This window comes from Homo sapiens, chromosome 14 (genome assembly GCF_000001405.40).
Source record: "Homo sapiens chromosome 14, GRCh38.p14 Primary Assembly".
NCBI lineage: Eukaryota > Metazoa > Chordata > Mammalia > Primates > Hominidae > Homo > Homo sapiens.
The window spans coordinates 67717285-67742956 of NC_000014.9; the positions used below are offsets into that span (position 1 = coordinate 67717285).

At 42.7% G+C, this 25672-nt stretch overlaps 3 protein-coding genes across 4 annotated transcripts in view, besides 1 other annotated feature; 2 read left to right on the forward strand and 1 right to left on the reverse strand.

The window, feature by feature from the left end:
- RDH12 (retinol dehydrogenase 12) overlaps positions 1–17167 on the forward strand; it is a 32566-nt gene extending 15399 nt beyond the window's left edge. Inside the window, exons 2-9 of one of the 2 annotated variants that reach the window (XM_047430965.1) lie at positions 3530–3618; positions 5140–5426; positions 7189–7307; positions 7815–7970; positions 8767–8871; positions 9697–9906; positions 11907–12096; positions 16462–17167. In XM_047430965.1, coding sequence (XP_047286921.1) covers positions 5359–5426; positions 7189–7307; positions 7815–7970; positions 8767–8871; positions 9697–9906; positions 11907–12096; positions 16462–16564 — 951 coding nt within the window. In that variant the 5' untranslated portion in view covers positions 3530–3618; positions 5140–5358 and the 3' untranslated portion in view covers positions 16565–17167. The remainder of the gene's footprint in view (positions 1–3529; positions 3619–5139; positions 5427–7188; positions 7308–7814; positions 7971–8766; positions 8872–9696; positions 9907–11906; positions 12097–16461) is intronic. The other variant, NM_152443.3, reaches the window with a different exon arrangement.
- The window catches only part of GPHN (gephyrin), a 1227209-nt gene extending 1209138 nt beyond the window's left edge, over positions 1–18071 (forward strand). Inside the window, exon 15 of the mRNA XM_047430879.1 lies at positions 17911–18071. Coding sequence (XP_047286835.1) covers positions 17911–18056 — 146 coding nt within the window. The 3' untranslated portion in view covers positions 18057–18071. The remainder of the gene's footprint in view (positions 1–17910) is intronic.
- The window catches only part of ZFYVE26 (zinc finger FYVE-type containing 26), an 87699-nt gene continuing 73634 nt past the window's right edge, over positions 11608–25672 (reverse strand). Inside the window, exon 42 of the mRNA XM_047431173.1 lies at positions 11608–12535. Coding sequence (XP_047287129.1) covers positions 12458–12535 — 78 coding nt within the window. The 3' untranslated portion in view covers positions 11608–12457. The remainder of the gene's footprint in view (positions 12536–25672) is intronic.
- Positions 11909–12539: an enhancer, noted in NCBI's record as "H3K4me1 hESC enhancer chr14:68195910-68196540 (GRCh37/hg19 assembly coordinates)". NCBI's record gives its function as "activates a minimal SCP1, AML or CMV promoter by ChIP-STARR-seq in naive H9 embryonic stem cells {active_cell/tissue: H9 hESC(naive)}" and the evidence as "EXISTENCE:reporter gene assay evidence [ECO:0000049][PMID:30033119]".

Here is a 25672-nt window from a genome sequence, read left to right on the forward strand (position 1 = left end):
GTGGAGGTGTGTTTTTGAAGTATATGTGTACACAGATCCCAGCCATTGTAGACTAATGGAGTGATTAGAGGTAAACAGAATTAAGCTGGGAGAAGGTAAAGTTTCTAAGGACAGAAGGATTAGTAGATGGCCAGCATCCTAGGCCCTGAGAGGATATTAATAACTTGCTGTGGACAGTAAGCAGGTTAGCTTGGCTACAGCTGAGTGAAAGGCATGGGATACTAAGTAAAACATTACTGTCCTCTAATCCTTTTCAATACTACATACACCAGGGTTATCCTTTAGGCCTACATTCTGGAGGGCAGTGGTTCCCAAACGGGGGTGATTTTGCCCCATAGTGAACAGCTGGCAATGCCAGGAGACATTTTTGGTTGTCACAAGGGGATAGTAGTGCTCCAGGCATCTCAGTGGGTAGAGGCCAGGGATGCTGGTAAAAATCCTCCTTTACTCGGAACAGCCACTCACAGGAAAGAATTATAAGGCTCAAAATGTCAATAGGCTGGGCGTGGTGGCTCACACCTATAATCCCAGCACTTTGAGAGACCAAGGTGGAAGGATCACACGAGCCTAGGAATTCACGACCAGCATGGGCAACACAGTGAGACCCTGTCTCTATTTTTTTTTAAATGTCAATAGTGCCTGCTGTGAATTAAGAGTAAGGGTTGCTGATCCCTTGAAAAATCAACGGAAGTTACATACTAGCAGCAAAAATTCTTTTTCTTTGAGAAAGACAGTGTGTTTATTTTAGCTTTTAAAATCAAGAAAAAGGAACAACAAGTCATTATTATTGGTTAAAACAAATACAAAAAAATGTGCTTCCATTTTGGTTTGCTGTTTGGGGTCAGGGCATGGGAAGAGGCAGCAAGTTCCTCATGGCTGGAAAAGGAAATAACTGTGGTGCTGTACGGGCTCCTTAGGGAAGTTGGGCAGGGCTTGCAGTAGAAAGATGGAATCTGTCATCTCCCACCTGTCTCATCTGGCTTCCAAAATATGTGATTTGAAGAATAGGGAAGAGGAGAAGGAGGAAGGGAGGAAGAGAAAGAGAAGTTTACAGTTTTCCCTCTCACTCTATTTTGTAAGAGGCTCCATTCTTAGTAGGGTATCCAGGACAGGGATAACCAGGAGACCAGTACAGTATGAGCTGCTAGATGATTTATGACCAAAGGTCAAATCAGCAAGCAGCTTCCCAGCTCTGCTTCATAGCATGTGATCTCCACACATCCCTGCCTCAGTGTTAGCCCTGGGAGGATGGCTGATCCGGGAACCTGACCTGTGATTGATTCACTCACGGTGAGGCTAGAAGAGGATCCTTCTCAAAGGTGTTGCAAGTGATGAGTGCTCTGTCATCACTGAACTTCAGGCCTATTCCTACACTGGTTCCTCTGGTGTTTTCATCTCTTTCTCTCTGTGACTTATGCCTATATCTGTCCCAGATTGAAAATCCCTAAAGAGCAGGTATCCTATTGGTCCCTGGCTTTTTTGATGTTGATTACAATGATGAAGTGGGTGATGATTATGGCTTTGCTTATGTGCCAAAGCATGTTTAAGAATGTCTCGATACCAGTTTGAGAAATAGCTTTATTTGTGATACTGCAATGATTAATTTAACAAAGATAAACATGTAAGTTGTTGCAAAATGATACGGTTTTCAACAGAAATTAAGGCCATTGGGGCAGAGATAAATTGATAAAAGTTTATTGGAAGCCAAATGTGAGAATTTATCCAGTAAGATACACCAACAAAGTTGGGCATGTTCCAACATCTGTTACAAGTTGGAATGCTTTTATAAGACTGTTTAGGAGAAGGAAGGGGGACTCCTCATATCGGAGTTATCCTTTTCCATTGGAGGGTACAATACAGAGGTTACAATCATTGCCTATGGATGACAGCGTACAGGCTAAAATGTTTTATGCACAAGACAATCAGTAAAAACAAATCAGCAGAGCTTTATGATTTAGAAAGAAAACAATGTCCCTTTCAATGTCAGTATTAATCAGTAACCTGACAATTAATAAATACATAGTTTGAGGAACTCGCAATAGAATTTGAGTGCCTCACGATAAGATTCTTTACTCAGAGACAGGATGTAAGCCATCAGTCTTAAGACCTTTTCCAAGCAGTTCATTTGGAAGCCTGTGAAATGTGTCCTGCAGGTTATCAGGGTCTTTTTGCTGAAAAGTTTATTTATTTTTTCTTTTCTTTTTTTTAGAGACAGGGTCTTGCTCTGTTGCCCAGGCTGGAGTGTAGTGGCATGATCATGGCTCAATGCAGCCTCAACCTCCTGGGCTCAAGTGATCCTCCTGCCTCAGCCTCCCAAGTAGCTGGGACCACAGGTGTGTGCCACCAGGCCAGCTAATTTTTAGTTTTCCTTTTTGTAGAGACGGGGTCTCACTATGTTGCCCAGGTTGGTCTTGAACTTCTGGTCTCACGTGATCCTCCTGCCTCGGTTTCCCAAAGTGCAGGAATTACAGATGTAAGCCACAGTGCCCAACCAAAATTTAATGTTTATTTACTTAAGTTTTTTATTTATTCTGTTTCTTAATTATTTATTCTTTTTTTACAGCTGTATACTATCTATTATGTGGCTTTACTATTGATGGACATTTAGGAGGTTTCCAAACTTCTGCTATAATATACAATGCTATAATGGTAACCTTATAAATACATGGAAGTCGAATGTTTAGGTGAATGAGTGCATGCACAGCTTTACTAGACATTACAACACTTCTCTCTATGGAGGCTTTAACAATGGACTCTCCCACGAGCAATGCATCAGCATTATTTCTTCACATGCTTGCCAGTGGATCATACTACAATCTTTTTGACCTTTGGCAATCTGATAAGTGAAAAGTGGCTCCCAGTATAATTTTAATTTGCATCTCTCATATGAGTGAGGGTGAAGAGCCACTTGTATTTCCTTTTTTGTAAACTGCTATTTCAATTGGGTTGTTATTCCTTTTCTTACTGATTTGTAAGAGTTCTTTATCTACTAAATCAATTAGTCTCTTGTCTTCAAAGCCTGTTATGAATATTTCCCCCCAGTTTCTCATTTATCTTGCCTTGTGTATGATGGTTTTTGTCATGCTCATTTTTTAAGTTTTAGTTTTCAGTTTCCTGTCTTACTAGAAAGGTCTTACCACTCTAAAAATGTGTCCAGTGGTTCTTCTTAATACTTCAGTGGTTTCATTTCTCATACTTACGTCTTTGAGGTATTCGAATTTTGGAAGGATCAAGTTTGCTTTTTCCCAGCTGGATACCTAGGTGCCACAATACTTTGTTAATTAAATCATCTGTCCCTTCCACTGATTTGAAATGGCATTTTCATCATATCTAAATGCCCATGTGTATTTGGGTCTATTTCTTGCCTTTCCATTCTGTTCTATTGATTTGTCTGCCTATTCACCTACCTGTACTTAGTAGTATGGTTTAGCATTTTGGTACAACTTATCAATGATATGATGGTGGCCTTTGGATTATAATATTTAACATTTTATTTTAGCAAAGTGTTTGTGTATTTTCATAATTCTAGATGCCTTATGGTCCTTCTAATATCTTCTCTCCAGAGGACTGTATGCTGTTCTTAAGGACTCTCTGCTTCCTGGACAAGCTCAAGCTAAGGTGAGTACCATCTTCTTAAATGCAAGGATCTTAGATTTGAGTCAAGAAGTGTCTGCTGGGAATGATCTGATCACTCCTTGTTCTGTTGGTCAGGTCCATGGGTTTCCCCAGGGGCAGAAACTGTGTCTTCCTAGTATGTTGCACAATTCCTGGTGCAGAGAAACACTCAGTAAATGTGTGTTGAGGATGAACTGATGAATGAGGACATGAACACCTGCCTGCCACAGAAGTCTTTCATGCATGGGTGTTCCTGGAGGCTCCTCTGGCTTCACAGGAAGGGACAGAACTGGGAAATTATTCCTGGGGTCCTGTCCCAGCTCCTTGTCTATTCTTCTGTCCAAGAGAGGAACACAGAGCGAGGAAGGGCAATGAATCCCACTTACCCTTCTCCCATCTCACACACATCCAGAGGCACGATCCTAGCTCACTTCAACCTTGACCTCTGAGCTCAAGTGATCCTCCCTACTCAGCCTCCCGAGTAGCTAGGATTACAGGCACGCACCACCACACCCAGATAATTTTTTGTAGAGACAGGGTCTCACTAAGTTGCCTAAGCTCAGTCTTGAACTTCTGGCCTCAAGGGATCCCCCTACCTTGGGCTCTTTACCAGCATTTTCTTGTATTTCTCCTCATCTTCAATAGCATTCAACTGAAACATCACCCACGTTCATCATCTCTCCCTTTTCTACACCATGGCCTTGAGTAAAGCAAGTGAGATAGCAAGGGAGATACGAATCAGAACAGCTAACCATAACAGCTGACTCTTATATACTGTTTAGCATATGCCAGTTTCGTTTTCCACCAATGTAATAATTGAACACTTAGAACAAGTGGGGATATATATATATATATATATATATATGTATAACACATATATATATAAAACCATATATTATATATATAATCATACCCATTGTACAAGTGAGAAAACTGAGTTAACAGAGAGGTTTAGTAACTTGCCCAGGGCCGTGGAGCTTTTAAATAGATTCAGCGCTAGAGTCCATGCACTTAAACACCATACCTTTCCTTGTAATATGCATGTGCGTGTGTTAACTTCATTGAAGTAAAATATAAAATGCAGAAAAGTGCACAAGTCGAAAGCATACGACTCAGCAGATTTTCATAAAGTGAGCACACCCATGTACTAGCACCCAGATGAAAGAGCAGAGCACTCTCAGCCCTCCAGGAGTTCCAGTCATCTCCCTCCCCAGTCACTGCCCCCTCCTCCCTAAGGTTAACTGCTCTTCTGACGTCTCTCTCCATTCTTCTGGGAGTTTCCTTCCCATCCTATTTTAATCCACTCATATTTTAAGCATCATGGGGTTTGTGGCTAAAGTTAGAAATATTCTATATATTCCATCTTGCAGTAGAGGTGGCAGTGGTTGGGAGAACACATTTCCTAGAGAAGAGAAACAATTGAGGATGGGGGGTTTAGGGGGTACTTGCTTTAGTTTCCCCACATTCTCTTTGCCAGTAAACCTAAGTAAGCTTCAAACCTTGACTCCATCCCCTCCCCACCAGGACTACATCTCCCAGCAGGCTGTGCTCTGACAGCTCTTGGATTTAAATAGGATTCTGGGCTCTGCTCAGAGTCAGGCTGCTGCTCAGCACCCAGGACGGAGAGGAGCAGAGAAGCAGCAGAAGCAGCCAAGAGCTGGAGCCAGACCAGGAACCTGAGCCAGAGCTGGGGTTGAAGCTGGAGCAGCAGCAAAAGCAACAGCAGCTACAGAAGTTGGAACGATGCTGGTCACCTTGGGACTGCTCACCTCCTTCTTCTCGTTCCTGTATATGGTAGCTCCATCCATCAGGTTTGTCTTAATTCAGCAACTCAAACAATCGTTTACAAAGACCTGCACTGGAAGCCGGTTCTCAGCTGCTGAAAGAAGAGAAAGGGAAGGAGGCTGACAGAGGAGAAAGTCAGGGCAGGAAAAGCAGGAAGGAAGGGGGTGTTGTGGATACCATGGTGGAAAACCAGAAGGAAGCATCTGCGGCCGGGCAGAGGTGGGGCTGAGTTCTGGCCCCACCTGAGCTCTGGGGAGAGTTCTACTGCCAGCGGAAGGCTGCATGGATGACTCTGTCAAGTAGCTCAACAAACACCTTAGGTGGGAGTCCTTGCGTTTTCATTTTATTCCTTTGGGTGTCTCTGAAGAACTCGGAGACTCTGTCCCTATTCAGGGTGGCCCTGCTGGCTTGTCATGCTGTTAAGTACCAGGTAGTTTGGGAAAGAAACAAACTCTTCTGCCTTTGAGACTACCCTCAATTAATGTTTTGGGATGGCTTTTTTGCTGTGGGATTTCTAGAGGTGTCAAATAAAAGTGTGTTCTGAGTGGAGAATTTTTAAATTTCTCTTTTTTAATTTTTGCTCTGTCACCCCAGGGTGGAGTGCATTGGTGTAGTCATAGGTCACTGCAGCCTTGAACTCTTGGGCTCAAGCAACCCTCCTGCCTCAGCCTCCCAAGTAGTTGGGAATATAGGCAGGTGCCACTACACCCAGCTACTTTTTAAATTTTTTGTGGAGATGGGGGTCTCACTATGTTGCCCAGGCTGGTCTCAAACTCCTGGGCTTAAGCGACCATCCCACGTTGGCCTCCCAAGATGTTGGGATTACAGGCATGAGCCACTGGGCTCAGCCTAAAAAATTTCTTATGATAAAGGAGGTTAAATGGACCTACCAAGGACAGTGTTATTCTAGGTTCTCCATAGAGATCTGGGTTCAAGTCCCACTTCTGCCACCACTATGTGACATGAACCTCCCTGAGCCTCAGTTTTCTCTACTGTAATGTGGAAATAATACTGGAGAAGTTGAGAGGATTAAAATAAATTACATATGGAAAGTGCCTAGACTAGTAATTGGCAGTCAGATGATGTGCAGGAAATGTTAGTTCTGCCCCTCCGTATTCTGTTTTAGGACCTGTGAAGTCAACTTCATGTAAAAGAGTGCTCTCTGCACAGAGGTCTGAACAAAGGAGGTTTTCTCTCTGTTTGCCATCGGCCAGAATGAAATCTCTAATACAATGGCTGAAAGCCTCGGAAATGACCCACTCCCTAAAACTGGAGAGGCAGCCTAAGATCAGTACCTGTGTATGCCATCCCCCAGAGTGCTAAGAGCAGTACCTGTGTGTGCCACCCCCCACAGAGTGCTGTTCATCAGTTACTCATGATGATGGTTACTGAATATTGACTCCGCTAATGTTTATCATGCATATGTTTTGAATGTAGGTTAGAGGGGAAAGCTTTCCTCTGGAACCTCTAGAGATAAGAGCTAGATGTATTTATTATCTAACAAGGAAAGTCTCCATTGGCCCTGACTCCAGCATTTACTCTGTTTGCTAATATGATTATTTGTGGCTTCTGGGCAAGTGATCTTCCCACCTGCACCGATAAACAGGCGACTACCTTGCCCCATGGAAAAATGTTGTCCTATGAAGGTTAGCTTTTATGAGTCTCCTGACTGCAACTTAAAGATACCCTTCTTTGAGGCTGGATAGAGTTTTTTTTTTTTTTTTTAACGTATCTTAGTGTGAGCTCGTGAAGGATGGTACGTGATGCTCTTGTTTCCCTTGCCGATAGGAAGTTCTTTGCTGGTGGAGTGTGTAGAACAAATGTGCAGCTTCCTGGCAAGGTAGTGGTGATCACTGGCGCCAACACGGGCATTGGCAAGGAGACGGCCAGAGAGCTCGCTAGCCGAGGTAAGTGTTTCCCCTTTAGTCTCCAAAGGGCCATGCCTCCCACCCTTCTTCCCACTGGGGCCTCTGTCCATATTGCTTTGTGTTTCCTCCTAGGCTTGGGGGCTCTGACTAGAAATTCAAGGAACCTGGGATTCAAGTCCAACTGTGACACCAACTTACACTGTGGCCTCCAATAAACTGCTTCTTTCCTATTCCCTCTCTATTAAATAAAATAAGGAAAACGATGTCTGTGTATAGCCAAGTCAGTTATTCTAAAAGGAGATACTAAGTGACATTAAATATCAGAATGTAAAACCTGGGAACCAGGTTCCCAGCCTGGGATTAAACTGACAGCAAGAAGACTGAACAGTACTACTGTGAAAAGCCCGAAGTGGCAATATGTTCACTCTACCGTTGAAGGATGGCTGGGAGAATGAATGCTCTGTCCCCCAGTCCCAAGCTCACTTACTATACCTCCTTTATAGCCTAGGATATGAACATACTGCTCTTTTTTTGTCTTGGACCCAGGAGCCCGAGTCTATATTGCCTGCAGAGATGTACTGAAGGGGGAGTCTGCTGCCAGTGAAATCCGAGTGGATACAAAGAACTCCCAGGTGCTGGTGCGGAAATTGGACCTATCCGACACCAAATCTATCCGAGCCTTTGCTGAGGGCTTTCTGGCAGGTGAGGTCCTGATGGGTAGGTAGAAAAGCAGGAAATTGGGTATGGGAGTGGCTGCTCCACCCTAGACCATCTATGGCCCTTACATCAGAACCATCATCCACCCCACTAGACAGGTTCTGCCACATGAACCAGCAGGACAGGGAATTGGCAAGAGGATGGTGGGTAGATAGACTGGGCAGGATCCTTATCATCTTTTCGCCTCAGCAATGGGAATGTCGGAGGTGTTAGCTCCCTGTCTGGGCTTGCACCTTGGCATCAAGGTGTGGCCACAATGCCACTCTCTTCTTTCATCCTGAGAATCAACCTTGTGTGGCCATAGGCATGAGATGAAGTTGTGCTGCTGGCAAGTTCTTCTGGATCTTGGAAAATGACCAGCTTCTACCACGGACTATGAAATCCATGAGGGACATCCTGGGACCATGTCTGGCTTGTGTTACCACTGGATTCCTAGTGCCCAGCAGAGTGCACCTGGCTCAGAGTCGGTAGTTAGTACACATTTGCTGAATAAATGAATGAACAATGTCCAGGAAGATATGAGTAACTAAAATTACTCATTAGAAACCCAGTGACAATGCTTATTGGATGTCACTGAGATAGGTCCAAATGAAGGATAGTTATTGAGTGCTGAGGCAATACCTTGTTTTAAAAGGAAGGGGCAGAGCAAGTGACTCCTATCAAAATGTTACCCCAACAAAGACAACTAATGAACAAAGGGAAAGGGCAATTATGCAGGTCTGTTACAGGCAGCTAGGGGACTCCTTGCTAACCATAGGATCTCTTTGGTTGTGCCCTATAGAGGAAAAGCAGCTCCATATTCTGATCAACAATGCGGGAGTAATGATGTGTCCATATTCCAAGACAGCTGATGGCTTTGAAACCCACCTGGGAGTCAACCACCTGGGTAAGTATCTTTGGGTGACTAAAAAATGAGGTACACCCACTATCTTTTCTTTAGGAAGATGACACTGTGTAAATGTGGAGAATGTCCAGGGGCCTTCATAGAGCCTAGGAATTCCAATAGACTAGACCCATTGGCTTGTTGTTCACTGTACCTCTCCTGATCAGTCTAAAAAAGTGAGATCTTCCTACCCATACCATTAAGAAGCCCCAAATTTCAGGAAATACCAGGGAGAAGAATGTCATTCTTGGATGGGGCAGTGGCAGTACAAGGCTTGCCAGGCAGGGCCAGACCTGGGGTTATGCAGGCATCTGGGCTTGGCTGGAGGGGTCACATCTACATGATGGCCAACCAAGCCATGGGTTGGTCCACGGAGGTAGGCAATCCTTGAGAACTTGAGTACGAGGCAGGGTGGGGTTCAGCGTTCAAGGCAAAGACTTTAGGGAGGAGAGCATGGAGCATGTTTTCTGATCCTAAGCAAATGTTATCTTCCCTGACTGTTCTATCCTTCTGCCTATACACAAGTGTACCTGGGTCCCTAGTTATGCGATCATGGCCAGAGTGGGAGTTGGAAGCCAGCAGGTGGGTCAAGGGCAGAGGTACAAAGTAATATAATTAAGTATGATTGCCTTACTTGTAGTCTAGCTCTGGCTCTTGCTTTGAGGAATCCACAAACTCAGACCAAACTGACCATTAGAGTTACTCATGGCATCAAAATTGGTTCACACCCAGAAGATAGTGAGCTAACACTGAAGTCCTCTTGGCTCCCACATGCTGAGCCTGGGCTGTCATTCCACTTTCAATCTTCCCTGCTGGCTCTCCTCACAGGCCACTTCCTCCTCACCTACCTGCTCCTGGAGCGGCTAAAGGTGTCTGCCCCTGCACGGGTGGTTAATGTGTCCTCGGTGGCTCACCACATTGGCAAGATTCCCTTCCACGACCTCCAGAGCGAGAAGCGCTACAGCAGGGGTTTTGCCTATTGCCACAGCAAGCTGGCCAATGTGCTTTTTACTCGTGAGCTGGCCAAGAGGCTCCAAGGTAAGTCTGGAGAAAGAGGAATAGCAAAAATGGTCCTCAGACCAAATTAGAGGTCCACAGCAACTTGGGAAGTCAGGCTGTCAAACATGCACGTGTCAGTAATATCTCTGTGGACTAAGGAGAATGAAATTATGAATGGAATAAAAACAGAGTGCTTGCCCCCAGGGAGCTTAAAATCAAATAGGGGTTAAGAACCTCAAAAAGTTACCTTGTATTTGTGTCACATCTTATCTCTTATCTCATTTGATTTTCACAGTAGCTTTTTGCAACAGACAGAGGCTTTTTGTTTTTTTTGTTTTTTTTTTTTTGAGACTTGAGTTTCGCTCTTGTCGCCCAGGCTGGAGTGCAGTAGTGCGATCTTGGCTCACTGCGACCTCTGCCTCCTGGGTTCAAGTGATTCTCCTGCATCAGCCTCTTGAGTAGTTGGGATTACAAGCACGCAATATCACGCCTGGCTAATTTTGTATTTTTAGAAGAGACGAGCTTTCACCATGTTGTCCAGGTTGGTCTCAAACTCCTGACCTCAGGTGATCTGGCAGAAGAGGCCTTTGGTAACAGGTATTATTACTCCTAGTTTATAGAGCAGAGCTGAGGTCCAAGGAAATGGCCAGCTAAAGAGTATATGGCAGGTGAGGGCATCAGAACCGGAATGTGGGTGCTCAGCTTTAAACCTAGGGTGCTTCCTTCTGGGTGCCATTTGCTGAGGTCCACATGGTGATCTGAGCTACAGAGCTGCCACTGCCTGGACTCAGGGAGTTAGGGCTGGATTTCAGACCCCTGGGTCCAAGTTCTTGCTCTACCACATGCTAGCCGCATGTGGATGTGGATGTGGATGTGCCCCTTTAACCTCCCCTGACTTCATCTTCTCAGCTGTAAAATCAGGTCAGGCTGGTTCTTATTCCTTAATGATTCTGTGCTCTCCTGGAGCACTGGGTGAGCTGCTGGCTCTGACATCTGCGGATCTAGGGGTCCATTTGTTACAGTGAATAAGCCAGAGTTTGGGAACAATGATCTTCACTTCCAGAATGCCTACAGTAGAAGAAGACGGTAATCATAAAAATAAACAATAACTATTACAATAATAATTGAGAGGTTTATGTGTGCCATGTACTACACATCTTAACTCATTTAATACTTGCAACATTCCTGTGAGGTGGGTGCTATTATTTTCCCCCACTCTAAATATGAAAAGACAGGCACTGACAGATTAAGAAATTTGCCCAAGGAAGGTTCCTAGCTGAGCCAGGATTCAAATGCAGACAGTCCATTCCATGTTTTTAACTTTACATCAGAGTTCAGACCTTGGCCCTGCACCCTGCCAGGTATAACCTTAGGCAATTTACTTAAACTTTCTGTGACTTAGTTTTCTTTGTTGTAAATGGGTATCATAACATAATATTCTATTTTACAAGCCTCTTTAAGAATTAAATGAAATAATACATTTAAAGCATGTTGTATGGCCCTGGCACATAATTGGTACTGAAAAATAGTGACCGCACCAGGGATATCTTGTGGGGGGGGGGTGTTAATCCCCCACAATCTGCATCACCATCCCTCAATCTATACCTCATGAAATGTGCTTGCCAGGCAAATGCAGCTCAAAATAAAGTCCTACCCACCACCTTCCAATCAGATCGCTACCCCTAAACTCCTCCTTTAGAAATGATAAAGATACCACTGTCAATGATTGATACTACTCACTACATGTTGTCATGTTTATTAGTAGTACTAAAGCCACAGTATAAAAACGACATTGAAATAGAAGGACCTCGAACCAGGCACTCCTTTTGGAACATAGAAGGCTGAGAAGGCTATAGATCTTTCTGAAAGATCAATTCATTCCTGTTCAAATTCCGCCTGGCCAGGAGTGGTACCTGCTGAATCCTGGGGTTATGTTTCCTGAGTCCCTCCTTCTCACTTGTGTATTTTGCTGCAGGAGATAAGCTGTTTTCCTGGGCTCAGAGTGTGTCCCTGATCTAATTGTGCCCTCTTTGTCCCAGGCACCGGGGTCACCACCTACGCAGTGCACCCAGGCGTCGTCCGCTCTGAGCTGGTCCGGCACTCCTCCCTGCTCTGCCTGCTCTGGCGGCTCTTCTCCCCCTTTGTCAAGACGGCACGGGAGGGGGCGCAGACCAGCCTGCACTGCGCCCTGGCTGAGGGCCTGGAGCCCCTGAGTGGCAAGTACTTCAGGTGTGTGAAGGCAATGCGGTTCTCTCCACCACCTGTGTGCATGGGAGGTGCCGGACTCGCTGGGCTGTTCATCCTGAGAAGCTGAGTTTGTGCCTGATGATGCAATCCAGGTTTGGGTTGGGCCTGCAAACAGAATGCCGTTGCTTTGTTAAGGAAACTTACAGTACAAACTTATGTGTTGGGAAGAGTTGCTTTTCTGGCTTTATTTTATACTCGTGTGCCGCTTTTCCATGAAAACTTTGCAGCTTTCTGAAAGCTTTTAAAGAAGACTGTCGCTGTTGGTTATGCCATGGAGATCTGGATCGTTTTTCTCCTTCTTTAAGCTTTTGGCTCACTTGATTCATGAATTTTTAAATACCAATTAGCACAAAGTGCTAGGGGAACGTCCTCTCTCTTCGGTGTGAACTCTGTCCCTCAATGCTGCCAAGATTGGCACTATCTGTTGAAATATAGAAGTAGAAATTTTAGTGCTGAATCTTATCATGAACTCAATGAGCAACTAGAGTCTGGGAGTAAAGGGAAGCCCAGGGTGAAATCTCTTTCCCATTCCATGACAGAATCCAGCCCTGTCTGCTCTGTTGTCCCGCTTTGTTCAAGGCTTTTCATCAGTGCAGTATTTATTCCGTGAAGCACTGGAAATAGTCTTAGTGTCTGATGAGAGGGGAATGGATAAGTGATAATAGCTAATGTTGCTTGAGTTTTTATAATGTGTTTGGTACTCAGTTCTGAGTGTGTAATGTGTATTAATTCATATAATCATCACAACCCTGCGAGGCAGGTAATATTACCCCAAGTTTTCACATGAAACTGAGGCGCAAGATAATTAAGAAACTTGCTCAAAGTCATATAGCTTATAAGTGGTAGATCTGGGATTTACGCCCTGGCAATCTGGCTCTAGAGCTGTGCCATTCAGTATGGTAGCCACTAGCCACATGTTGCTATTGAGCACTTGAAATATGGCTAGTCCAGATTGAGATGCACTGTAAGTGTACAGTGCATACCAGATTTTTGAAGACATACAGGTTGAGCATCACAAATCTGAAAATTCGGAGTCCGGAATATTTCAGTAAGCATTTCCTTTGAGTTGCATGTTGCTGCTAAAAATGTTTTGGATTTCAGAGTATTTCGGGTTTTAGATTTTTGGGGTTTGAGATGCTCAGCTGGTAAGTACAATGCAAATATTTCATAATTCAAATAAATGTAAAATCCTAAATACTTCTGATCCCAAGCATTTTTTTTTGAGATGGATTTTCACTCTTGTCACTCAGGCTGGAGGGCAATGGCTTGATCTTGGCTCACTGCAACTTCAGCCTCCTGGGTTCAAGCGATTCTCCTGACTCAGCCTCCTGAGTAGCTGGGATTACAGGTGCCCGCCACCACACCTGACTAGTTTTTGTATTTTTAGTCGAGATGGGCTTTCACCATGTTGGCCAGGCTGGTCTTGAACTCCTGACGTCAGTTGATCCACCTGCCTTGGCCTCCTAAAGTGCTGGGATTACAGGCGTGAGCCACCGCGCCCAGCCCCAAGCATTTCTGATAAGGGATGCTCAACCTATAGTATAAAAAAAGAAGTGTAAGTTATCTCATTTTATATTTTTAAATGAGATAAAAGATATCTCATTTTTTATATTGATTGCATGCTAAAATGATTTTGCTATTTGTGGGTTAAATAAAGTACATATTTATTAACTCAATAAATGAATGTGTAATTAAATGTTACTAAATAAATTTCACCAATTTCTTTTTACATTTTAAATGTAGCTGCTAGAAAATTCAAAATGACATATGTGGCTCACAATTGTGTTTCTCATCATATTTCTTTCTTTCTTTTTTTTTTTTTTTTTTTTTTTTGGAGACATAGTCTCACTCTGTTGCCCAGGCTGGAGTGCAATGGCATGATCTTGGCTCACTGCAACCTCCACCTCCTGGGTTCAAGGGATCCTCCTGCCTCAGCCTCCCGAGTAGCTGGGATTACAGGTGCATGCCACGACGCCCAGCTAGTTTTTGTATTTCTAGTAGAGATGGAGTTTTGCCATGTTGACCAGGCTGGTCTTGAACTCCTGACCTCAAGTGATCCGCCCACCTCAGCCTCCCAAAGTGCTGGGATTGCAGGCGTGAGCCACTGCGCCTGGTCTTCCCATCATATTTCTATTGGACAGTTGCTACTCTAGAGTCTGAGTGTTTAACATTGCTGCCTTAAATATGTAATAAAATATACAGTCATTAAATATCATATTTTAATATAATATGTAATTAATATAAAAATGTTAGTGATATAATGTTGTAAGGAAAAAACTGGAATACAAAACTATATGATTTTTTATACATAGAGAACAGTCTGGAGGGATAACCAGCCACTGGGCAGTAGTGGTTACTTCCAGGGAGTTTTAGGGAGAGCCAAGCAGAGTGTGAAGGATGATTTTTATCTTTTTATTCTAGGTGTTTTTTTATTATTTAAAAATTTTGCCAGGTGCAGTGGCTCATGCATGTAATCCCAGCACTTTGGGAGGCTGAGGTGGGTGGATCACTTGAGGTCAGGAGTTGAGACCAGCCTGGCCAACGTGGTGTAACCCCATCTCTACTAAAAATACAAAAAATTAGCTGATCATGTTGGTGGGTGCCTGTAATCCCAGCCACTCAGGAGGCTGAGGCAGGAGAATCACTTGAACCTGGGAGGCGGAGGCTGCAGTAAGCCGAGATCACTCCACTGCACTCCAGCCTGGGCGACAGAATGAGACTCTGTCTCAAAAAAAAAAAAAAAAAAAAAAATTTAAGGCTGGGTGTGGCGGCTCATGCCTGTAGTCCCAGTACTTTGGGAGGCCAAGGCAGGAGGATTGCTTGAGCTCGGGAATTCCATACCAGCCTGGACAACAAAGTGAGACCCCCATCTCTACTAAAAATCAAAAAATTAGCCCAGCATTGTGGTGCATGCCTGTAGTCCCAGCTACTCGGGAGGCTAAGGTGGGAGGATGGCTTCAGCCTGGGAGGTCAAGGCTGCATGATAGTGCCACTGCACTCCAGCCTGGGTGATGAAGTGAGACCCTATCTCAAAAAAAAAAAAAAAATCCTCCTCAAACTAGATACAGTATGATCCCGGTTTTATGTAAGAGAGAAAGAGAGAGAGAGACTATATCTCTATTTATATCCAAACAAAGCAAAAAAAAAAAAAAGACTGTACAGAAAGCAACTAAATGATAGACTTTTCTTTTTTTTGAGACGGAGTTTCGGTCTTGTCGCCCAGGCTGGATTTCAGTGGCGTGATCTCCACTCACTGCAACCTCTGCCTCCTGGGTTCAAGCCATTCTCCTGCATCAGCCTCCCAAGTAGCTGGGATTACGGGTGCCCACCACCACACCCGGCTAATTGTTTTTTGTATTTTTAGTAGAGGCAGGGTTTCGCCTTGTTGGCCAGGCTGCTCTTGAACTCCTGACCTCAGGTGATCCACCCACCTCAGCCTCCCAAAGTCCTGGGATTACAGGTGTGAGCCACCGTGCCCAGCCGTGATAGGCTTTTCTTCTTTTATCAGCACTGCATGTTCCGAATGTTTTACAGGACTTTTATAATTAGAAAAAAGGAACATTAAAAACAAAAAACATGGGGGGAGCGGGGAGGGATAGCATTAGGAGATATACCTAATGCTAAATGACGAGTTCATGGGTGCAGCACACCAACATGGCACATGTATACATATGTAACAAACCTGCACGTTGTGCACATGTACCCTAAAACTTAAAGTATAATAATAATAAAATTAAAAAAAACAAAAAAAAACATGATGAGAACTGTGTTCTGCTCCCACCCCCTATCCCTCTAGTCCTCAGGGCCCCTGCTCATTCCAAAGCAAATCTGGAGGGCTTGGTCTGGGGTTCATGGTATGCAAGTGCATCTGTCCCCAGAATTCAAGAGGCCTGTGAACTTGGATGGGAAAATAACTTCATCTTTAATTTAACCTCCAACTGAGATTTGGCATTTTCTTCAATTACGAATGTAGGCACTGAACTGTAGTAGTAGTAGTGATACCTGTGACTTTGTCACCAATAGAATTATAAATATTTTTATATCACATTGCAGTTGTTGCAGATATCCTAGAATGTCACTTCTGCTCGCCACTACTTTGAAATCCTTTGATTATTAGACCTGGTACTAGATCTTGTTATAGAATATATTAATAAATAAGCCTGTGTATTACTATATCACAAATTTGTTTTTAAAATATTTTTGGAGTGCATTTTGTATAATTAGTTTCTTTGAGTCTGGCATATATTGTATTTTATTCATTTAGAAACATTCTGAGAAAGGGACCATAAAGATTTCCAGACTGCTAATTCTCATTCCTGGAATTTACTGTCTTTCTCTGCCCTCCAGTGACTGCAAGAGGACCTGGGTGTCTCCAAGGGCCCGAAATAACAAAACAGCTGAGCGCCTATGGAATGTCAGCTGTGAGCTTCTAGGAATCCGGTGGGAGTAGCTGGTGGAAGAGCTGCAGCTTTATCAGGCCCAATCCATGCCATAATGAACAGGGACCAAGGAGAAGGCCAACCCTAAAGGATTGTCCTCTTGGCCAGCTGGTGCTGCGAATCCTGCCTGCTCTGATCCTCTTGACCCTTCTGGGAATGTTTGCACACCTGACACTCTTGTGAGACTGGCTTATGGCATGAGTTGTGGACACCTATAGAGTGTTCTTCTCTAAGACCTGGAAAGTCAGCAACCCTCTGGGGGCAGCAGGACTGGGCAGATCCCAGGCTGGGCATGGGGGTGGCAGAAGAGCCCGAGAAATTGGGTCAGTTCCCTCATCAGCACCAGAGGCTCAGCTGAGGCAAGAAGAGCACCATCACTGCCTATTTCTAGGGGCTATACACTCCAACTCTTGGTTGATCTCTTTCTTTTTAAAAATATTTGCCACCACCCTGGAGTCTAGACCAACACACAAAGATCCTGGCTAACCCTGGCCTATTTAGATTCCTTCCTCTCACCTGGACCTTCCCATTTCAATCATGCAGATGGTTTCTTTTTGTAAAGAGTTCCGTTTGCCTTTCAATTTTTAGAGAAAATAAAGACTGCATTCATCTCATTGTCTTATTTATTTTCTCAGGGCAGCAAGGGAGAGAAATGGAACAAATCAGGAAACCAGCCTGCTAGTTTAGTGAGTAGCATTTCACCCTACCCAGCCACGGGAATTGGGAATAGCAAGGGAGCAGGCCTAGGCCTAGAACTCAGGGCAAAGACAGCAGCTGGAATGTAAGATCCTCAGAGTGTGTAGCTGCTGGGAGGAATCCATCTGAGTTAGGCAGACAGAGAAAAAGCAGTTTCAGTGAGAATCTGGCACCCAAAAGGAAAGGATTTTACTCCCCCATGGCCTAACTGCCTTAGGAAATTTGAGTGCTGACGGAGACACTCTTCCCCTTGAGTTTTAGGAAAGGGGTGCTATTCTCTGCGTTATCCCCATCTCCTTCCTTCCTGAAGGAGGCTCCACTTGCAGAATGCATCATTTCCTGCCGCCCTCAGCAAGGATCACAGCTTGGCCAGCTCACAGTGGTACAGGGCTGGGAGTGGATACTCCTAACTGCAATGCTGTACTGCCTCTCATTTAAAGACATTTTGTTAAATATCTGGCTAGAGAAAATATTTTAAATCTGAAAGTTTCCATCATATCCCAGATTATTAGATGCACTTACAACCAACAGCAAATGACACCAAATATCGGGAAGCTGAGCAGCAAAGAATGCAAAAGAAAACAATGATAGGCATGGGTGTTGATTCGACATGTTGTTGGCATTTTCAGAATATTAAGCCACAGTCGTTCCCCTTGTTCAGATTCCAGACTCCATCATTTCTCGTGGTGTTCAGGTGCTCCCACGAGACACAGCCTCCCTCAGCACTACTCCTTCAGAATCGCCTCGTGCTCAGGCTACATCTCACCTCTCTGTAGTGTCTCGCCCGACACCAAAAGGACCATCTAGTCTGCTCAGCCTGGGCAAGGAACATGTGCCAGTCTTGGCCTCTTGTCATGTTTCCAGAAAAGACTTGCCGCAAGTTAACATCTGAGCAAGTGAAAGGCCTTGGCTCTGCACAAACAATGCCGGGGGATTGGTGGCCGAGACACCGTTCGACCTTCCCATCTTGGCTCCCTGAAATCCCCTGCAACCTTCGGGGCTGTTTTTCCGCTATTGACTTGTGCTTGGATATGGATATGGCTTCCTGCCTTGGCAGAGTGCCCCTCAACATACAGGAAACAAGATCCTGGATGAGAAGGGCTCAGGGATTTCAGTTGTTCCAGACTTCCCTCCTAGGTGCTTCTCTAACTGCCCCAGTTCCACTGCCTTCACTATTCCTGGCTTCTCTTAGCCTCTGACACCCTTAGCTAATCTAGCCTGGGGTGGAAAATCTTTTTCTTTTGGCTCAGCTGAGACTGTCCTAATTTCCTAAAAATAACACTTCAATGGGAAACTAAAGGAAAAGGAAATCAAAGAGACATATGAAACTCAAGAAACAAACAGTTTCAGAGCACCGATTTCCTAGGTGGTGACTAGCTGCCACAGATTACCTTGGGTGGCACTTGGCCCTTGTCCAACTCAACTTCGTATACAATGTTGCCATGCGTCCCAAGCTCAGGAGGATATACCTTGTGTATTTGGTCTCTTTTAGTTATAAGATGGACACTCAGTTTGAGCAAGCTTAAGTCCCAAACCATGCAATATTTTGCTCATAAACTCAAGGAAGGGTTGAAACTGGAAAGTGGGAATGGGCAGAGATGTATCTTAGAAATAACTAGAACTCAAGCGCCAAGCAACACCAGACTCCTCTCCCTCTACCATTGAAGAGTTCCTGCAGCCATTTCCTATTTTTAGAATTTAAAAAATTCCAGGTTTGGCTTGGGTCAAATGCTCACTGTGAAGCATTCAACTGTAGTTGGGTATTGGGTATTGAAACGTCTCTTCTACGGCTATCATATTCTCATATATGCTATTTTGATATCGCTATCATATTTTCATATTGTAGAAGAGGCATTTCAAATCAGTCAGAAAAACATAGACAATGTCATAAGTGGTGCTGGACAAATAACTATCCAAATGAAACATAAAGTTAGATTCTTTGCCTCACACCATGCATACAAATGAGTACTATGTGGACTAAAAGGCAAAAAAAGTTGTGAAAATATTAGAAAAAAATATAGAAGAATATCTTTATGCCCTTGGAAGAGGGATAGCATTCTTAAGACATGAAAAGCAAAAAGCATATGGGAAAAGAGGAATACATCCAAAAAGCATACCTCAAACAAAGTTCAAAGTCAAGTGATAATGGTGAACATATTTGAAATTGTTTTACGTTATGTATTCTAGAAAACGGACTTCGAGATACAGACATTTGCACACAGCAAATTTATTAGGAGGACTGTTAGGATTGGTATCTATAGGGGAGTGAGAGAAGCGGGACAGGGCAGAGGGTGAAGTTGATCTGCGATGCAGTCACACTAAAGGGTTAGGTGATCCTGTTCCACAGAGAGCTCTGGAGCTGAGCTGTCTTGAATTGAGGAAAGGAGGTTGGTCTTTAAACACCCGCAGTGACCAGTAATTGGGTGTGGGCAGCTTCCAGGGAGGGGGCATGACCTGGGTGAGGGCAAGTTCTAGATAAAAACTCAGCTGAGAGTTGGCAGCTGTGTACATTTCCAGCATCTGGGAGAATAAGTGCTTCATTTCTTTTTCTTTTCTTTTTTTTTTTTTTTTTTTCGGTAGAGACAAGGTCTCTCTCTGTTGCCCATGCTGGCCTTGAATTCCTGGGCTCAAGCAATCTTCCTGTCTTGGCCTATCAAAGTGCTGGGATTACAAGCATGAGCCACTATGCCTAGCTGTATGCTTCATTTCTAAAGGGAGTATATTAGTCTATTCTCACACTGCTATAAAGATCCTACCCAAGACCGGGTAATTTATAAAGAAAAGAGGTTTAATTGGCTCATACTTCCACATGGCCGGGGAGGCCTCAGGAAACTTACAATCATGGTGGAAGGTGAAAGGGAAGCAAGGCACATCTTCATAAGGTGGCAGGAGAGAGAGAGAGTGCAGGGGAAACTGCCACTTTTAAAACCATCAGGTCTCATGAGAACTCTCTCACTATCACGAGAAGACAATGGGGGAAACCACCCTCATGATTCAGTCAACTCCCACCAGGTCCCTCCCTCAACACATGGGGATTACAATTTGAGATGAGATTTGGGTGGGGACACAGAACCAAACCATAGGAGGGAATCTGGGTGGTGCAACACAGCATCTGCTGCAGATGTATATGTATATATGACCTATCTTATATTTACATAGATAATATGTATCACACAAAAGAGTAGTACCCATATTTTTATTCATTTTTCTTTCGACTTGGGGTCTCGCTTTATTGCCCAGGCTGATCTCAAACTCCTGGACTCAAGTGATCCTCCCACCTTGGCCTCCCAAAGTGCTGGGCTTACAGGTGTGAGTCACCACTCTCAACTTATTATCATATAAAGAACTTCTACTTCTCAATAAGAACAAGACACAGAACCCAACAGAGAACTTTGCAAAAGTTATAAATAGGAAATTTTCAGAAGAAACGCAAATGGCCAATGTACCTAAGTCAAGATATTTAACCTGACCAGTGATCAGAGAACTGCAAATTAAAACAAGATGCCATTATACCATTTTAAACCATCACATTGTCAAAAATTTGAAAGCTTAGCAAATATTGGCAAAAATATAGAAAAATAGATATTTTTATACACTGCTGCTATGAGTGGAAGAAATGGTGGAGCCATTTCTACCAGCAATTCAGCTTCTTAATATCTGCAGTAACATTAGCCTATGTATGTAAAGAGGAGGCATTGTTCATATTAGCAAAAAAATGGAAATAGCCTAAAAGTCCATCAGTTGGCGAAAAACTAATCTGTGGTATGATTATACAATCTGACATGATTATATAATAATTATATACTAATATACTTATATATACTAATATACTTATAAATATATACTTATAAAATATATACTTATAGAAATATACTTATATACTTATAAATAATTATATACTAATCTCTGTATGATTATATGATGAAATAATTATTTTGGAGTAGTTATTCCAAAAATCATTATATTAAAAAAATAATTATACACGTATATACTTGGATAAATCATACTGAATTTCAGAATGATGTGTTCTGTGTAGTAAGACTTATATTTTGAAATTACACACATGTAATATATATTTTCTATGAGTACATATATAGGTATGTAAAAGCACAGAAAAAGATATAAAACAATATAATGAATGTGTAAGAGAGGTTATCCTGGGGAAGGATTAATGGGAAATGATTTTTCAATTTTTTAAAAGCAGAATATTCTTATATCTTACTTGAAAATTAAACATTAATAACTTCAGCAGACACTGTTAGCTGTCACCCAGTAGTCATTCCCTACTCTGACTTTGTTCCAGTGTCTACCTCTGCTTTCTGTGAATGATTAACTGATCGCAGTTGTTCTCAACTCTGGCTGTGTATTTTTAAATATTTAAGATGCCAAAGTCCAGGCCTCCCCACAGAGATCCATATTCAATTGTTCTCGCCTTGGGAAAATGTTTTTGAAAGCAACCCAGGTGATTCTGATGGGCTGCCAGGGCTGTGAACCACTGGCCCAAGGCAACCGTGCGGATCACATTTTTTTGCAAGTGACGGTGATGGAAAAGTCACGTGGCTCAATCATGGCCGGTGGGATGTGGAAGGAGCCTCTTTGGTAGCTTCTAGGAAAGGCTTCCTCATTGGTTAAAACATGAGGCACAGGAAGAAATTTTCTGTCTTGTGTTGGATGCTGTCATGGCTAAACATGACACCTGAATCTGCCACAATCATCTTGAGACCATGAGTGAAGCTGGCTGGCCCAAAAACTAGCGCACACGCCGAGGGTGGTGAAAGGAAAGATAGAGAGAATCTGGGTTGCTGATGACGTGGTGGTGAGTCACTGAATTAACCAAGACTGGAGCTGTGCTCCCTTGGGACTTCTTGTTACACAACATAATAAATTGACCTTATTAAGTCTGTGTCCTACTGATGCTATCGTATTATGTTGAACCCTATAAAGTTGCTGACATTCTACCATTTTTAACCTACTTTTTAATTTTTTTTTTTACTTTTTTTTCTTACCATTACTGCTAGTCCAAGGCAGATATCTTCCTGACCTACTTTTATCACCCTCAATTTCCTCATCTGCCAAGTGAATATTTGACAACTTTTTCATTACATTTTTCTCCACCCCCAAGTTCTGTCATCTTCCATTGATTTCTGAATATGACAGATATCCATGGAGAAAACTGACCTAATATCCTAGCACAGAGAATCCTAATAGTCCTGGCACACCCTTACAGGTGTTCACCCAAGTTTTAATCTATATGTACAATCTATTTTTTCTACATATGGATATATAATCTATATTAGCCAAAATGATCAGCTAAGAAAATCTCAAGAGAGGAGGTACAACTTGCTCTGATAGGAGGAGATTAATTATTGTAACAAACAATGTTAACTTTAGTGGTACAATATAATAAAAGTTTATTTCTCGCTCATGTCACATTCCACTGCAGGAATGGGGGTGGGAGGGTGGTTCTGCTCCCCATGGCCAAGAAAAAAATCAATGGTTCCATTATTTCCCAGGACCTCAGTGTTCTCTATTGGATCCCCTGTATCCAGCTGCCAGATGATGCAAAAGAGTGCATCCAACTATATCCAGCTATTCCATTTCTGGGCCAGGGATGTACAGTAATAAAAGCCCACAAAATTTTTTTTTCCTGTTTTCATCTTAATAAAATCACTATGTTGTTATAGTCATCTAATAATTTATGTTCCAATGACAGCAGTTACTTAAAGGATTAAACCAATATAATTGTATTGAAAGTATACACAATTTAATATATTCTCATAAAAATGGAAATCAAAGAAATGCAAAAAAAATTATTTAAAAAATGTTTTAGATTATTTTTCTTTTAAAATATTTAAATTATCTATTATAATTAAAAGACAAATTATAATTTTGAGTATCAACATTTTAAATCCAAATTATTTAAATAATGTGGAATATTTTTATTTTTTGAAAATTTAGTTAATTTTATGATTTTTGTAAAATAAAACAATTCACAATTCTGAAGTTCATTGTCCATTTAGTTGCTAATGTAAACAATGGATATCATACTTCATGCATGTTTCCTTTACACCTATACACCTACCAGTTTAAAAGTGCCAGGCACTGTGGCTCATGCCTGTAATCCCAGCACTTTGGGAGGCCAAGGCGGGTGGATCACGAGATCAGGAGTTCGAGACCAGCCTGGCCAAGATGGTGAAACCCCTATCTCTACTAAAAATAAAAAAATTAGCCGGGCGCAGTGGCAGGCGCCTGTAATCCCAGCTACTCAGGAGACTGAGGCAGGAGAATCATTTGAACCTAGCGGGGCAGAAGTTGCAGTGAGCCGAGATCACACCACTGCACTCCAGCTTGGGTGACAGAGTAAGACTCTGTCTCAAAAAAAAAAAAGTAATATGAATTGTTTAATATTGCAAATTTTTAAAGACTCCATAGACAAATGTTGCAAACACACATTGGAATATGAAGAAGGACAAGAATATAGACCCTCGACTACTGAAAATGATACCCGTTTTAATGCAAGTATTTATTATACTCATGCTGGGGAAGAATTTGACAAGTTAATGAATTTGTCTTTTCTCTTCCCCAACTGCTTCTTTTATTCCAATCCTCCCTATGCTCAGAAGCAGAAGCATAATCTGCACACCTTCAAAGCCTTTGAATGCAGTTAAGTAGAGTTTTCCTGGCACCTAAACAGTGTTAATCATGAGAGTAAATGTTTAGGGTATCAGGTTATGTTATGTCAGCACTGAGTTCCAGAGCCTTATGTATTTGTAAATACACTTATTATTTTCTTGTGCATTCTGGTGAAATATAAGGCTTTTAAAGTGGCTGGCCAAGGGAAGGAGCCCTTCTTGCCTGGGTCTAAGGGCAATACTATTCATGTAGTTCATATTCATGTAGTTCATATTCATGTAGTCCTCACATGTCCACTGGGGGCCTAACCCTAGGAATTCTCAGAGAAGAGGGACCTTTGATGTGCCAGATAGAAATATGGTAGATGCCAGGCCCTAACTAGCATCTACCATAGACGTTTAATGTCAATCTGGCATAAAAGATCAAGTGTTTATTGAACATATGAGAATTCTGCCTTATAAAGTATTTGAGAAAGTGTGATTAAACAGTAAATAACTCACCTCAAATAACAACATGGTACTGAAGGAAGACCAAGTGAATGGTGTGATAACTGTAATACACATGGGTTGCCCAAAGCACTACTATTTGAAAACGTGACACATATTCACTCAGACTCAGTTCCCTGACCTTCTCCTAATCACTGACTCCTAATCACTGCCTTCTACTCTTCTTCAGTCCTCAATTCCCATGACAAAGACTACACCTCCATCACATGAACTTTCTGCTCTCCAGATAACTTTTAACATCCTACTCTAGCCACAACCTCCTACTCCTCCAACTTTCTTCCTTGCTGATTCACTTGCCCCATTATCATCCCTGTCTAGTGAAGAACAAGCGCCCACGGAGCGGTCCATCTCTCTGATTTCTATATACCAAGAGTATGGCTGGAGAAAATCACTCAGTCTCACAGATTGGAGCTTCCATGAATCACTGGTCACCAACATCAACTGGGGTTTCCATTATGCTAAATAAACCAGACACAAAAGGACAAATACTGTATGATTCCACTTGCCTGAGGTACCTAGAGTAGTCACATTCACAGACAAAAAGTATAGTAGAGGTTACCAGGGACTGTGAGGAGGGGTAAATGGGGAATTAGTGTTCAATGGGTGCAGAGTTTCAGTTGGAGGATGAAAAAGTTCTGGAGATGGATGTTGGTGATGGTTGCACAACAATGCAAATGTACTTAATGCCACTGAAGTGTACACTTAAAAATGGTTAAAATGTTAAATTTTATGTCATGTATATTTTAGCATAATAAAAAATCTTTCAAGTCTTTCAAGGATCCTAGGCTCTGTATCTGCTTAGATTCTCCATACCTCAATATTATAGAGAAGTCCTTTGATTCTTCTAGAATTATTATTTGTTCATATGGAGTTGGTAGAAGGTGCAACTCTAGGATGAATGTTTGAGATGAAGAGTCTTCTGCAACAGTCAGGGGAGGAGGTGATAATGATCTGAACTACAGTGATGAAGTGGAAGGGACAGGTTCTTCTGGCTGGGAAGGTAGGATGATAGGATTTGGCTTTGGACATAGCTTGGACATAGCTTGATGCATGGCAGGTACTTGAATGTTTTCAAATGAGGAGGTGGGGGAAAAAACAGTCAGCACAGAGTTCCTTCCTTCCTTCCTTCTTCCCTTCCTTCCTTCCTTTCTTCTTTCTTCTTCTTCTTTTTTTTTTTTTTTTTTTGTTTCAGGGTCTTACTCTGTCTCCCAGGCTGGAATGCAGTGGCACAACCTTGGATCATGGCAGCCTCTAACTCCTGGGCTCAAGCGATCCTCCCACCTC